General features: G+C 34.9%; 1 protein-coding gene across 3 annotated transcripts in view; it reads left to right on the top strand.

Annotated features, from left to right (window-relative positions):
• The window catches only part of LRP1B (LDL receptor related protein 1B), a 1,899,594-nt gene that overhangs the window by 1,009,715 nt on the left and 874,125 nt on the right, over positions 1-15,754 (top strand). The window lies entirely within an intron of this gene.

Raw genomic sequence — 15,754 nt, 5'->3', positions numbered from 1 at the left:
ATACATAGTCTACTGTGTTATTTCTGAAATATCAGATTCATGATAGGATTTATAGACGCTTCTAAACAGGCGGAGTTTAACACTCACATGGATTATTGCATTTAAATCTGACAATAACTCCATGAGGCTTTACTCTTAATTTTTTCATTTCATGGATGAGGAAACTGAGATTTACACAGATTAATTACTTGCCAGTGTCGCATAGGTGGTAAATGCACCGCTTAGATTTGAATCCAAACCAACTTCCTCTTTTAAGGGCCTGTGCATTCTAAAATATATAAATTGCTTAGCCCAGAAGCTAACCAACCCTCAAATTGTTCCCAATAAAGTAATTAATGTTATTTTTTTTATCATTGTCAGAAGCTATTAGGGCAGAGTTGCAGTGTGCAATGCATGGTGGACTCTGCAATGTGCAGTTGAATTGAGAAGCATCTTACTTAATACCTCATATTTTCTGACTGTAACCACTTGTTTCAAATTCCTATCAGGAGTCTCACAATAACTTGGCCTATATAGCTAAATGAGTAAAGTAAAACAAACAGCTCTCTGAAGAATGGATTGCCTTGGTTTCACATATTCTTCTTTTAGAGCAAAATGTTAGACCTACTTTAGAAAAATAAAATTATAAAACTTTAAAGTTAAAAGTAAAACTACCAGAAACTTCAGATTCATTATAAATCTGAAAATGAATTTGTCAATGTTCGATCTTATTACCTTATTTATATCAGATAGCTATTTAGAGTTTACAAAACACTTTCACAAAAGATTTTCTATTTGATATAATCATAATATATCTGAGATAGAATTTTTGCATTGAAATTGCCTTATGTGTAGGTTAAAATAGTCAAATATTGTCAATTTTGTATTCTTCAACATAATGATACCCATTTTAGAGAGGAGTAAACCCAGGCATAAAAAATAATTTTAAAAAACCCTTATTACTAATATATGGCCACCAAATTCATTTGCAAAATTAATAGACAAAAGTCACATCATCAAAGCCTTTTCTATTAAATTCTCAACAACAAAAAATAAACTAGAAATGAATATCCTTCATTGAGGGTTTGAGTACATTACAAAGAGCAAGTATTTCATATAAAGTAAATTGCTTTTGTCCATGCCTTGATTTGTTTAAAAAGATAATTTCAAATCTGAAATTCCTTGCCTGTCAGTGGGTTAAATGTCTGCTCTTCCTCCTAGAACCTCTGTCACTCAATGAAGAGTTGTAATAAGTGGAAGGTACCCATACTGCAGCTTATTTCTAAATTATTGAGCATTTCCTACCAGCTTTTATTTAAAAATAAAACAAAATAAAACTTTTTTTCCTCTAAATCCTGAAAAGTATTTTTGATAATCATTTGCTAGAATACAACATATGATTATTATGGATCTTCAGGGTGATAGATGACTCATTTGCTTGTTGAAAATCACATGAAAGACCCTTCTTAGGCCAAGTCTGTGCCTTACACATCTCTTTATCCCCTGCTCTGTGAGCACAGTTCTTTATACATAACAGATACTTAATGGATTTTCTGAGTTGAGTTGAATTAACACACACACACAGACACACACACACACACACACAACCTCTTGGGTTTAACATCGAAGGATGTTTTTGTCTTTAAAATGTTATCAAGACATGCATTAGTTATTTTTGATTTAGTGCTTTGGATTTCTTCAGGACAATGTGCTTTTCCTTTGTCACTAAAGTACTTTGATCCAGTAATCTTGAGACCATGATAGAGTACATGCATGACAATGGCATACGTGATTCAATCCTTTGGGAAGAAGATGTAGTCATATCCCAAGTGAGTGTGAAATTGTATTCCTCCCTCTCTCACTTTAGTATGAGACAAATATGCTTGCTGCCTCATTTTTAATTGAAAACTTTTAGAATATCTAGCAAATGTTTTGAAAGAGAATGCATAGAGACCCCTAAATAAAATTTGGAGAGTCTGTAGAGGGAAAATGTTATACAGTACAACGTTGTGGGGATTTGGAAAAGCCCTAAGACCTTTCTTTTCTTATTCCTTTTCAGTTTAGAAGGCTTTATTCTCTCTTTTAGGACAATTGAGTGAAAAAAACTTACGGATGATTTTAACAGGTCACAAATATGTTTCCTGGTTTTGAACAAGGGCGTCTATATTATCTCAAAATTGTGTTAAAGATGGAGCATTTAGCAACCAGGAAGACAATGAGTGTAAAACACAAAATTAACTCATCAAGTTACTGTAATTTTCTCTCTTCTTGTCTCCAGCTGATTAGTGCAAATTAACCGCCTGAGCAGTTAGCCTGCAATATGGAAATCTTAGCTATCTGCTGAGAAGGCAGACTTTTTTCTTTGTTTTAACTATATCTATGTAGAATTCCAGAATTCTTGAATGACATTGCTGTATTTCTTAACGCTGCTTTGAACTTAAAGGACATGTTTGTATGTCTGTTTTGAGCTTTGAGAATTTATTAACCTTAATATTATTATGATTATAATCTTTATAAATTCCTTTATAGGAATTCAAAAGAAAAAAAGGGAAATAAAATGCTTAGATACCTCATCTCTTAATTGAAGATAATAACTATCTCACTAGATTATTGTGACAGTTAAAAACTAAATAATGTGTGGAATAAATGTTTAGAATACAGTGTGGTCCAGAGTGTGCATTTGATATCCTTTTAAAATTGTTCTTATTAGGCCATTGAATTTGATTCAGTGAAATGTACTACTTATTTCAATCTCTTCGCTCTCAGAAAATGAGATATGTAGGCAATTTCTATCCATTACATTTCATATGGTCCATAGAGAGCTTGAAAAACAAGAACTAGTTTACAAAAAAGTCAGCTCTTGACCAATTATTAGAAATAGAATGATGTGTTTTGTTAAAAAGAAAGTTGAAAAGTTAACTAATCTCAGAAAGGAAACAAGTGGTATACCTGGTAGGAAATAAACTATAATTTTTTTGGAGGTGCATCTACAAGGGATAATCAAAGTTTTGTAATAAGATGTGATAAATATAACTGCCTGAAACAAAAATCAAGAAGAGTTTTTGTTTCTGCTGTTTTTTTCCTTTATCTATAAAATAATTGGCAGCCATTTCTAGGTTTAAAAAAATTAGTGCAAACTGAACATTGAATATTTTTGAAGCATCAAAACTTTACCTTTTATCTCTGAATGCATTAAAATATTCCATCCTATACACAGTTTCCATGTATAGTAATTAATGCATTTGTTTGGTACAAAGTTTTAATCAAGAATAATGTACCAGGCTTTTTCCTTGATGTTGGGAGTTAAGCACTGAACAAAGACAGTTTAGTTCCTGCACTCAAGTAACTTATTGGAGCAAGGAAGACATATATGATGATGAGTTATATGAAAGAGACATCCAAGGGAAGTCTAAATGTATTTTTGTAAGGACAAACCAAATGCTTATTTTTAAGATTTAGTGAGTTTTAACAGACTTAGAAACAAATAATATATCTTAAGAGCATACTCATGCCAGGGAATGACCCATTGCCTCGATATTTTTCAAACTTGCATGATTTGAAGGATTTGGTTAAAAATGCTGCTAACTCCATTGCTTACTTGGAACCACACTAAAGCATTGCTCTTCAATTTTACCTCTTGAAATTATTTGTCTACAAATACTCAGATTTTAAAATGTTGTATTATTTACCCCAATTATCAGCTCAACATTCCTTAACCACGAAGTTAAAAATCACTGTGTAATTGGAGACAGAAAGTGGTGAGGTAGTCTAATAAATTTAAACTATTGTGATAGGGTCTATCTGTGATTTTTTTAAACCTTCTAATTTTTGTGTAATTGCTTTCTTATTTTTCATTTTCTCCACTTTCTATTAAATCATTCTGATTAAAACTACTTGCCATCTGTCCCTTGATATCTGATTCAACCTGATTTAAAAGCATGTTTAAAGACTACAGTACTAGTGTTTTAAAAGAAACTCCACTAAAAGTGACACAAAACACCAAGAATTATCTCTAAGAACAGTAGTATTTAAACTCAACCACACTTAAAATGATTCTTTTGAATTGTTAAAAAAAAAAAAAAAAAATGAAGTAGCCAAACATGTAATTCTTATCCTACAGAGGCAATATTATCTTTCTATTTATAAAATAGAAGAAATCACTTCAGTTATATTGATATGGAGATAGAAAAGTGTTAGTGACAAAAGTCAATGATAAATGAAAAGATACTTGGGGCATTCCTGAATTTGCTTGTAATCGTTATTAATACATCTAGAAAAAATGATTAAGGAAGATTTTAATAAAATATCTTATAAAACTGAGAGATGTAAACTGAATGGACAGATAATGTTACCCACGAACTAACAAAGTTATACAAGTGGTCAGGGTGTTGCAAAATGAGCTGCAATACTGAAAACACACTATCACATAAAATATGCAATCCAAGGAAAATCCAATATACAATCAATGTGTGGTAAGACTATGGAAAGTCATCTCGTAGAAATAAGAGTAAAATATACTTTCCAGTCTTTGTTGGACAAAATGGTTTTTGTCAAGGTGAGATTAGAAAAGGCAGAGTTTATAGAAAAAAAAAAATCATTCAGATCTGTTCCTGCCTGTATTACTTCAAGGAAATCAAATACATACTTCAGACGTCAATTTTTTCTATTATAAAAATAAAGATGATACTGGTTTCCATACTACCTTCTAAGGAGCCCCTGGGATTTGGTAAAGGTTTTTGGGCACTATCATGGGGATGGCGAGCCTACTAAGTTAGTAATTAAAACTGGGAAACTTAAAACATGTAGCACATGACTGGATAAGCCTCATTAAAATTTAAGTTAAAGATGATTATATGGCTATTAGAAGGGGAATAAGAACAATTATCTGGATTACTTGACTTCCATATTGGATTTACCTAAATTGCCTAGGAATATTATCAGAAACGATTTTTAAAAGAACAAAAAACAACACTGAGTATTTGCTTTACTTCTTTGTGAACATACAGTTACAAATTTTAATTCATTTTCCATCATTTAATAAGTTATGCACTTAGTATCTTTATTTTAAAATGAAAACGTTTCCTCTCATAATTGTTACAGATTTTAATATAATAACAAATCACTGTAATAGGCTAGAGTATATGAATGTATTATACAGTTTTTTTACTTTAGGAATCTAAAATGACTGTCACATTTAATTTCACATTGTCAAAATAAACATACTGCTATTTAAAGAACTCATTCTTTAAATAAGTTTCACAGGAAAAAAGAAAACTCTCCATTATTTTTATTTATAATGAAATTGCTTTTTGGTGTCATGATCAGAATTAGTACCCTAATGCAGGCAATACATGGGGAATACATATACATTCTATTTAATCATTCTCTTACGATGCTTTCATGTTGTTTTAGGATGTAAGAAGACTGTGAATCAACCCATTTAATTAGGGTGTGTGAAAGCAAAATGAAAATTCTTTAGTTTTTTTCTGGCTCATAAGCCTTCCAACCACACCCCATCTCTGCCTTTAAAAATGCTAGTCAGGTGGGGCGCGGTGGCTCACGCCTGTAATTCCAGCACTTTGGGAGTCCGAGAGGGGCGGATCATGAGGTCAGGAGATCGAGACCGTCCTGGCTAACACGGCAAAAACCCGTCTCTACTAAAAAACACACACACACACACACACACACACACACACAAATTAGCCGGGCATGGTGGCGGGAGCCTGTAGTCCCAGCTACTCGGTAGGCTGAGGCAGGAGAATGGCGTGAACTCGGGAGGCGGAGCTTGCAATGAGCCAAGATCACGACATTGCACTCCAGTCTGGGTGACAGAGCCAGAATCCATCTCAAAAAAAAAAAAAAAACAAAAACAAAAACCTATTCATTTTGCAAAGTCCTATTTAAGTGAATTGGAATGTTCTTGGAATGGGATGAGCCTGCAACCTCAGAAAATTAGTAGCAGTAGTGTCCAGGGTATTATCTGGGTTTATTGAATCCTTGTCTATTCCTATCACATGTTGTGTGTGTGCTGATCTTTAGCCTACTCTTGGACTATGTAGTAAGAACAGTCTGGAATGATGAAGGAGAGGAGTCAAATCACAAGGCCATGTTTAAGATATGGCTTCGAGTAACTATAATCCTTGAAAGTCCACATGCTTTTTTTTTTCTTTCAGAAAAAGAATATAAAGACCAAAGAACATTATCCACTATGACCATACTATAATTTTGTTTCAAAATATGTGCAAGTTCTAGAAAATGGACACTCCTACATTGTATTTTTGCTTCATTGGTTTTACTTTCCGTCATGTTTGTTTTGTTTCCTTCGGAAAGGAGTGTACGTTACTACAAGTGTGTTAGAGAGATAACTACCCTCAAGGGTGCGGTTTTAATAGAATCAAGGAGAGCTTTGGCATGCCCCTGATTTAAAAATAAATTTTTTTTTTTGCATTAGTATGCCTGTTTTCATGACATGTATGTGTGTATGTGCACATATGGACGCACCCACACACTTAATTACGAATTTTCCTCTGACAATTTATACAAACAGGAGGCAGGGAAATGCTGGGTAGAAGAGGGCAGTTCCCCAGGAAAGGCCCCACCTTCAAGCCTGGAAACCCATGGCCCTAAATGGGAAGAGGCATTCCTGTTTTCACACTCTAATATTGCCTTTTCCAAGACTACTCTGACCCACCACACCCCTATCCTTTGTTCATATAAACCCCAACTTCCACTGGCAGATCGGCAGATTGGTATGACAGAGGAGAGAAGAGAAGGGGCATCTGAATATCAAGAGGAGTTTTGCTACAGACAGTCAGGAGATCAGCCATGAAAGGCCAAATTCCAGGGGAAGATCGTCTTCACACTCCATCCCCTTTCCAGCTTCCCTTCCACCCCACTGACAGCCACCTCCATCACTCAGTAAAATCCCTGAATTCATCATCTAAGTCTGAGTGACCTGATTCTTCCTGGCCACCAGACAAGGACCTGGGTACCAAGAGAGCAGGGTGTAAAAGACTGTCACCCTGACTTTTCGCTAAGCTGATTTAACACTTAGCTGTCCACGGAGGCAACTGTTAAAAGAGCATTAATTGTAGCACACCCTTAGACGCTACCATGGGGCCAGAGCCCAAAAGAGGTTGCCCTGGCTCCTGCACCTGCCTGCCTGTGTGCCCCCTCTCCCATAAGGGGTTTGAGCACATGGCAGCCGAGCAAACGAGCCACACCCCTGTGGCAAGTCCTGTGAGGGGGTCAGTGAATTCTCCTGCTTCACCATAATTCGTGACATTTTAAAATTGAATTGTTTTTCATATTTCATGATAGCTCCATACATAGAATGACCTGTTAAATAAATGCTATTTAGAATTTCGGGGAATAGATAATGTTGCTTTAAAATTGCATGAGTTTTCTAACAGCTGAACTTAGACTAGTTTCATTTATATTACTGTATCTTTGTATCTGAGTGTCCTAATAGTGACTGCTACCAATAAGTAGTATAAGTATGTGAGGAAAGAGAAATGACAATATAATTATCATGACTTCTTTCAAGTTGGGGAAATATTAATAGCTTTTTGCATTTAAAATTAATATAAATTAACATTAAAATAATTTTTCTGCCATGAATTTAAGAGTAAAATATTTACATTTTTAAACACCATCTTTCCATACATTTTAGCATCTATTTCCAGAGGTGAGGTACCAGTGTTGGTTCTGCATAATAATAAAACCCTTTCAAAGAACTAGAACTTAAAAAAAAATGAATTGCAAACCTCATACAGTATAGAATTAAAATGCTAGACCATTAAAACTAAGCAGTTGTACAAACTTTAAGAAAAGATTTTAAAATTGTTTTTAAAGGGACCAAATGAATCAATTGTTATTTAAAAGAACCTTTATTCAGCATTGTGTTGGCTAAATACTTCATGTGAGTTCTTGTTTTAAGGCAAGTCACCCTCATTTTTTTTATTGCTTATTTAAGAAAGCTTTTTAGTGGATCTTTATTTAAGAAACACCCATAGTCTTTTTGTTGGTTTGTTTTAACTGAGCTTTTTAGTTGCTCTGAAAGCAGTAAATCTCTTTGGTTCACTGTGTGCTTTGATAGAGATTTTTTTCTTGCCAGCAATTTCTTGCTTCCTATTTTTGAAAAGACCAGTGTTCTGCCTTCACTTAAATGTGAAATGGAGAAAATTAAAAGTTAGTTTTATGTGTTTGTTTCTTTTAGGAATAAAAGTATAATTAACAACTTTATAGAGAGAAGGTTTGTCCACAGAGCTAGTGATTTCCATAGTATTAGTACAAATTTGTAAAGAATTTTGTAATATGCATATTATCAATTTGCCTTTTCAAAAGTCTGTATCAGCCTATAATTTTATCACAGGCTTAATTTAACAATTCTCTCCTTAACACTGATGAACTTTTTTAAAAAAATATTTTTCCAAATCTGATAGGTTTAAAAAAATGCAGCTTAATGTTGTTGGATTTAGATTTCTGGGATTATTAATCAATTTGCCTTTTTCAAATACAGTTGATTTTCATTATTTGCAGTAGTTCCATTCAGTAAAGTTACCTAGACAATTGAATTAGTGAATACTAAATCATTACTCCTAGGGGATGTACAAGGTTAGGTTCTTGCAGGCTTCTGGTCACAACATTTTATTTTCATCAACCGATCCATAATATAATCTTTTACATGTGCCTCTGTTGAAGGACATTGTATTTATTATAAATTGTTTAAATATTGACATTGAACTCACAAATAGCATTATTTTGTTTCAAAATATGTACAGATAGCATTATAACTCGTGCTTGAACAAAGCTTATTTTAACGTATTTTTTTCCCTGTAAGGCACATCACACTGGTCTTACGTTTAGGAACATTAGACAGCACCTCAGCACTACACTTGGGGGCCATTTTAAATAGCAAAATTACCAACCAAAAGCAAAGAATTAGAAAAATGTGGTATTAAAAGACTGTGAAAAGGAAACATTCACAGTATGAAAGCTGAAGCAAAGAAGGCAGAACATTGTCCTGCTTGACCTCAGCAGGGAAAATGGGCAGCAGGCAACTCAAATTTTTGATTTCTGAGCATGTTCATGAATGACCACAAAAGACACTGCTATTTGATGCAGAATTTCTTTTTTTCTTCTTAGCTCAGCTAGGTCTGGGTTCTTGTCTCATGACCAGGAAAAATTAGGCACACAGACACTCAGAGAGTGAGTGGAGTAGAATTTATTTATTTATTTATTTATTTATTATTTATTTATTTATTTATTTATTTTTGAGGCAGGGTCTCACTCTGTTGCCCAGGCTGGAGTGCAGTGGCTCGTTCTTGTCTCACTACAAGCTCTGCCTCCCGAGTTCACGCCATTCTCCTGCCTCAGCACCCCCAGCAGCTGGGACTACAGGTGCATACCACCATACTGGGCTAATTTTTTTATATTTTTGGTAGAGACGGGGTTTCACCATGTTAGCCAGGATGGTCTCGATCTCCTTGTGATCCGCCTGCTTCGGCCTCCCAAAGTGCTGGGATTACAGGCGTGAGCCACCACTACCGGCTGGAGTAGAATTTGTTAAGTGAAAGGGGAAGGCTCTCAGCAAAGAGAGGGGTCTTGAGAGCAGGTTCCTAGTTGCTGCCTTCACAGTTGAATCCAAGGGCTTTTACATACAAGCTGATAGGGCTGGATTTTATATTTGTATAAGGTGTGAATTACTGGTGGCTCCACCGTATTCCCCTAGTATGCATGTGGGTCCTTAGTCCACTGTGGCCATGTTTAGGCAAGCCCCGTAGTACAAGGTCCCTTAAGTGCACAAAACACAGGAGGGAGGTTCTCTGGGGACTCTTTCCTTACTGTCCACCTAAAGCAAGCTGGCTAACTCCTTTCATATTGACTGTTGATTAAAGGTGAAAAATTTTAAAATAAATATAAGCAAGTAAACAAATTTGCAAATATGAAATCTGAATAATGAGGATTAACTGTACTTGTTTGCTATTTGCATTTTTTTTCAGCTTTCCTCTGTCTTGGTTTTTCTATTGGGATTTTAGAATTTTTATTTGTACAGGCACAGTATACATTAAGTATATAAACTCTGTCATGTTTGTTACATGCTTTTATTCCAGTTTATTTGCTTTTAATTTTTTTCTGACATTTTTGATATTTTTATTTTATTTTTATTGCATTATGGTCAAACAATACAGTCTCTTAAATACGGAGGTGTTTTGACTGTGGTATCTTATCCCACGATCACAAGGACTGATTTAGCTTATTTCATGGGGTGACTGGCTGGCTCTTCGCCTTGCCATTTCATTCACTTCTTTCCAAAGTAGACTGTTGAATGGAAGAGGCTATTTTCCCCAGGTGGCTATTTTGTTTTGATATGTAAACTTTTAAAATGTGGCTATATATTTAGTGTGGGGACCCACTTAAAGCCTAGAGTTGGTATAATGATTGTTTTAAGTTGAAAATTTTAAGATTCAACAGACATCAAAATAAGCCTTCTCAGAATTTCCCTTATTTGACTAAAGGCAGAAAATTCTGGGAATGTTCTGCTATAAATCCCCTCTTAGGTGTGGTTTGACTCCCAGAAAGGAAATCAAAAGTGAAACTATCGTACATTCCCTCTCTAGGGTAGTTTTAGGGCCATGAACAAGATGGAAAAGACCACTTGCACCTGTGTTAAAAAAAAAAATCATGATTACAAACTTTCTTGTCTTTGTTTTCCCACAAAGCCATTTGTCTTTCCTATGGAAACTCTCCTGTTCTTCCCATAAAGGTTTTTCTCCACCTTCGCTTTTCCCTATTAAATTAGATATATAAGCTCCTAACATTAGCCCTTGAATGGACCACTTCCTTTGTAGACCTCATACGCATATGAGCAAACTTTTCCTTCTCTTGTTAATCTGTCCTTTGGCAGTTTAATTCACAAGCTCCTAGGTACTAAACCTAAATAGGAAGAGGAAAAGTTTTCCCTTCCCAGTATTAGTTTGTGATAATATATTATGCATTTTTTTGGCTTAATATAAATCTATTTTTGTGAATATTCTATGGATATTAACATTAATTAGAAAGATATAAAATTAAATTTATATCCTTTGGCTTTATGTGTAGACCCACCCACATGAAATGCCTATGTCCCTATACCCTAAATTATTTGGAATGTGCATTGTGTTAAGGCCTGAGAGGTTTTTGTAATTTTACTTATTTAGCTACTTTCTTGTTTTTTTTAAGTTTTAGCTGTCTTAGGTAACTATGCTATTTTGTTCAGAAAGTTTGAAGAATGTTTTATTTTCATGTAAGTAGTTTTCCCCACTCTCTGACTCCTGTATGGAGTTTTCCCTTTCATATCATCATTGCAGCCCCTGGCTCAGTTTGGGCTTAAGTGGGCTATTGAGCTGTCCACACAGGGCACCTTTACTCATCCTACCAGATAAGCCTTGAGCAATATGCAATCAGCTGTTGATTGAAGGCCCTCAGCCACTATCAAAGCTGACAGGGTTTATTTGCATTTTTAATGTGATTCTGAGTGCTCCCTCTAAAGGTAACAGAAGGATAGGCTTCCCTTAGCCTTCTGCTTAGCTTCCTGCTTTGGCCATGACAGTCTTCACTTTCCTTTTTTTCTGATCTTTTGATCTTATCCTCCAAAGTATTTTTTTTTTTTTTTGCAAGGTTGTAGTCCCTTTCTCCTCCCTACACTTAGGCAAGTAACTCTCATCTCAGGGTTGCAGGATCTTCCTTCTTTCCTACTAGTCTTTCCATACTTTGTTATACTATGTTTGAGTCCTCCTTTTGAGGCTTCTCTAGGAATTTTTGCTTAATTCCTATTTTGAAGTGAAAGAACTAAAAATGAATCTTTTTGGCTTTTGTCTCCTGGTATAACAATCTAATTTTTGCTTGATTTCTTAGATGTTTTTTAAAAGACTGGGGAAGTGTAACTGCCAGTGGGTTCATCTTGCTTACTTCCCAGATGGAGCCTATTTATTAAGAAAGGGGAATTGCAATAAAGAGTTTAATTCACACAGTGTAGCTAATGAGAGACCAAAGTTTTATTATTAATCAAATTGGCCTCCCCCAAAATTTGGAGGCTTGAATTTTGCAAACATAGCTTGGTGGGCAGGGGCATAGGGTATAGGTGCTGCTGATTTGTTGGGGATGCAGTCACAGAAGTGTGGAAAATGGTCCTTGTTTTCTGAGTCCACTTCTGGGTGGGGCCATCAGGTGGCCAGAAACACAGAAGTCTAGAAAGACATCTTACAAGACCAATCTTAGGTTCTACAATAGTGGTGTTATTTACAGGAATTATTGTGGAAGTTGCAAATCTTGCAACCTCAGAATAATGGCTGACAATCATATAACTCCACCTATACCTTAGCACAATTCAGGTTCCCATCATACTCCTAACCTGGTGGTATTTCATTAGTTTTACAAAAGGGGGTTAGTTCAGAGAAGGGCTATTATCATTTAAACTATCAACTAAATATATCCCAAAGGAAGCTTGGCCCACATACCTTTCCACATAAAGGACATCTTGTCAGGTCATGGAATTTTAGGGTTACAAAACATCTATCTTCATACTGAAGACTTTTTTAGTATTTTTCTAACATTTATTCATTCAATGGTATTAGACTGACCTAGGTTTGTCACTTATGTCTAAATATGTTTAGATTATAAACACATTTTTGGCCGGGCACGGTGGCTCATACCTGCAATCCCAGCACTTTGGGAGGCTGAGGTGGGTGGATGACCTGAGGTCAGGAGTTCAAGACCAGCCTGGCCAACATGGTGAAACTGTGTCTCTACTAAAAATACAAAAAATTAGCTGGGCATGGTGGCAGGCACCTGTAATCCCAGCTACTCGGGAAGCTGAAGCAGGAGAATCGCTTGAACCTGGGAGGAGGAGGTTGCAGTGAGCCGAGATTGTGCCATTGCACTCCAGCCTGGGCAACAAGAGTGAAACTCTGTCTCAAAAAAAAAAAAAAAAAAAAAAAAAAAAAAAGAAACAGATTATAAACATATTTTTGTCTGAATGATTAAAATATCTTTGCTATTAAACTTGTACCTTGTACCATTACTTGTTTAAAGAGTTTTCCTGGTTATTGGAGATTCTGGATTGTTGTTGTTATTTCCAGTTTTGTAGTTCTGATATAAGAAGTTCTAAAGGAAACACATTTAATGACACGGACTTCTTGGGAGGAATGCAGATTACAATTCCTCCTTTAGTGTTGACTTAAATATCAATGCTAGCTTTCTGAGGCATAGTCAGTAAAATCCAGTGCCCCCTAGTATTATTTTAATTGACTATTTTTCTGTTTAAACAAAATAAAATGAACATTTGTCACTTTTCAAGCTGATATAATGAGTACTTGGTAGCACCATACTTTTTTTCCAACTGTGTATTAAAAATGTGTGATTTACCAATTTTAAATAGCAAACTTCACTTAGTTACATACACGTTGAGAAATAATAGTGTTTTGCTATTCTAATGATAAGAATTGTTAAATAAAACTGTGATCATATCATAATCAGTTACAGCCACAAGCAGAAGTTGTTCAATTCCCACCAATCTTTCAAGAAATACTTTTAATAAAATCACATAAAATGTATATTTTCTTATAAAATCTTGCAGCTTTAGTGCTCTTTAATCAAATGGAATTTAAATATAGTCTTTCTTTCTTGTTTTTTCTTTGACACGGAGTCTTGCTCTGTTGCCAGGCTGGAGTGCAGTGGCGCGATCTCAGCTCACTGCAACCTCCACCTTCTGGGTTCAAGCAATTCTCCTGCTTCAGCCTCCCAAGTAGCTGGGACTACAGGTACACACCACCATGTCCAGCTAATTTTTGTATTTTTAGTAGAAAAAGGGTTTCACCATGTTGGCCAGGATGGTCTTGATCTCTTGACCTTGTGATCCACCCGCCTCAGCCTCCCAAAGCGCTGGGATTACAGGCATGAGCTACCGTGCCCAGCCTAAATATAGTCTTCCAAGTTTTTTTTAATTTATCTTTCAAAGATGGATACTAAAATTTTTCTGTTTTGAAAATTATATAGTGCATAAATCACCCTATAAATATAACTGCAGTTTATTTTTATCTCCATAATTTAAAACACCACATAAAAAATTTAATGATATGCTATTATTTACTAAGTCTTCCAAAGTCTGAATAGAACCCTTTACTTTTTTGCCTATTCTTTATTTTTTTTATAAATCACATAAGGAAGACTATTAGGGAATTATTTCCAAAGTCCAGTGAAAAGTGATTGAATACAATTTAAAAGAAAAAGTAGAATCACTGAATATATATATTGGTTCAGTAGAGGATAGCATAATACCAATGCAAAGAAAAAAAAAACAATTAGTTTATCTTGCATATATCACAATTCACAAAACAACTCTCATTCTTGAAAATGATAAAATTATTTTTAGGAATATTCTTTCTCATGTAATAAATATCACTGAGCAACTTGTCAGAGCCCTGGCATCGAAAGTGGTTGACTCGTGGATTGGTAAGAATTTACCAACGACAGTATATGTTTGAAAAAGAAAGTTTTATTGGAAAGAGAGAACGCTACAGAATAGTTCAGCGGGGCTCCTTAGTAAGAGAGGAGTGAGTGCCCTGTGGTGGATTTTTCCTTAGGGGTATTTACAGACCCTAAAGTCAGAGCTTATGAGTAGTTTGGACCTATTAGCTGCACAGGTCATGATAAACTATTACATTTGTAGACATTTTGATGTCTTAATGTAAGCAAGGTTTGCATAATTGAGTTTGGATATGCATGCATTCCAGACATGTCTATTTACTTCTGAATTCTTCAGATAAGGAGTTTTGTCTCTGGATGGCCTGCTTGATGGTCACCAGGTGATCTTCACTCTGCTGAAATTTGTTATAACTTTTATTTATTTATTTTTAAATCTGTACATGAATGCTTACATGATCAAAAGTTAGAAAATGATTTAAAAATATCTGGTTTTAAGCACCTAGGTGTTTTCCTTACTTAGCTCAGTGTTTTTTGGGGGGCATTTTAGGAGCCAAAAAACGAAAGTGAAATATTTTCTATCATTGCTTTTGTTCTATTCCCTAAACTATTTAGAATACAAAATGAAGTGTCGATGACATAAATATTTAATTTCAGAAAAATTGGTTAGAAGATAAGGCCTTGGATTTTTGTCAGCTTTACACATATGAGACTGAGCCTTTAAATTATATTGTTTCTAAGTAAAGTGAGATGAAGTACCAAATCATGAGTTTTATTTTTTTAAAAGTGGTGAAATACCCATTTAGAAACTTACTTGGTGTTCAAGCAACTTTCTATTCTGGACAGGAAGAGAGCAGCTGGCAGAGTTTGGCCCCCTGTGGATTCCCATTTCCTCCCAACTTTTAACTTTCACTGCTCTCAAGGTGACCAGCTTTTTTTTTAAGAGGATGATTGTGGTCCCTCTGGAGATCTCCTTGCTAGCTGTTGTAGTTCTGAATACTTATATACAAATGCCAGTAAAACAATAGCTATCATATGACCAAAAAAATACATTTTGAAAATCACTTTAATTCCAATGTAAGTTTTATAAATTTCTTATTCAAAACAGGTATACATTTTTTGAAAAGCCAGGTCCATCAATTTATGTTATTTAATAGCATTCTCTAAACAATTGTTTCAGAGAATAAAGAATCCAATGACTTTTCCAAAGAGTTTGACAGGTGGTCAATAAAATTCTGTTTACTATTATTGAAACCAGAGCAAGATACTCTGCATTTTCTTCCTCAGCTTTTTTGAACATGTTGACATAGCT

Source organism: Homo sapiens, chromosome 2, assembly GCF_000001405.40.
Source record: "Homo sapiens chromosome 2, GRCh38.p14 Primary Assembly".
Taxonomy (NCBI): Eukaryota; Metazoa; Chordata; class Mammalia; order Primates; family Hominidae; genus Homo; species Homo sapiens.
This window is presented reverse-complemented; position numbering and strand designations above follow the sequence as displayed.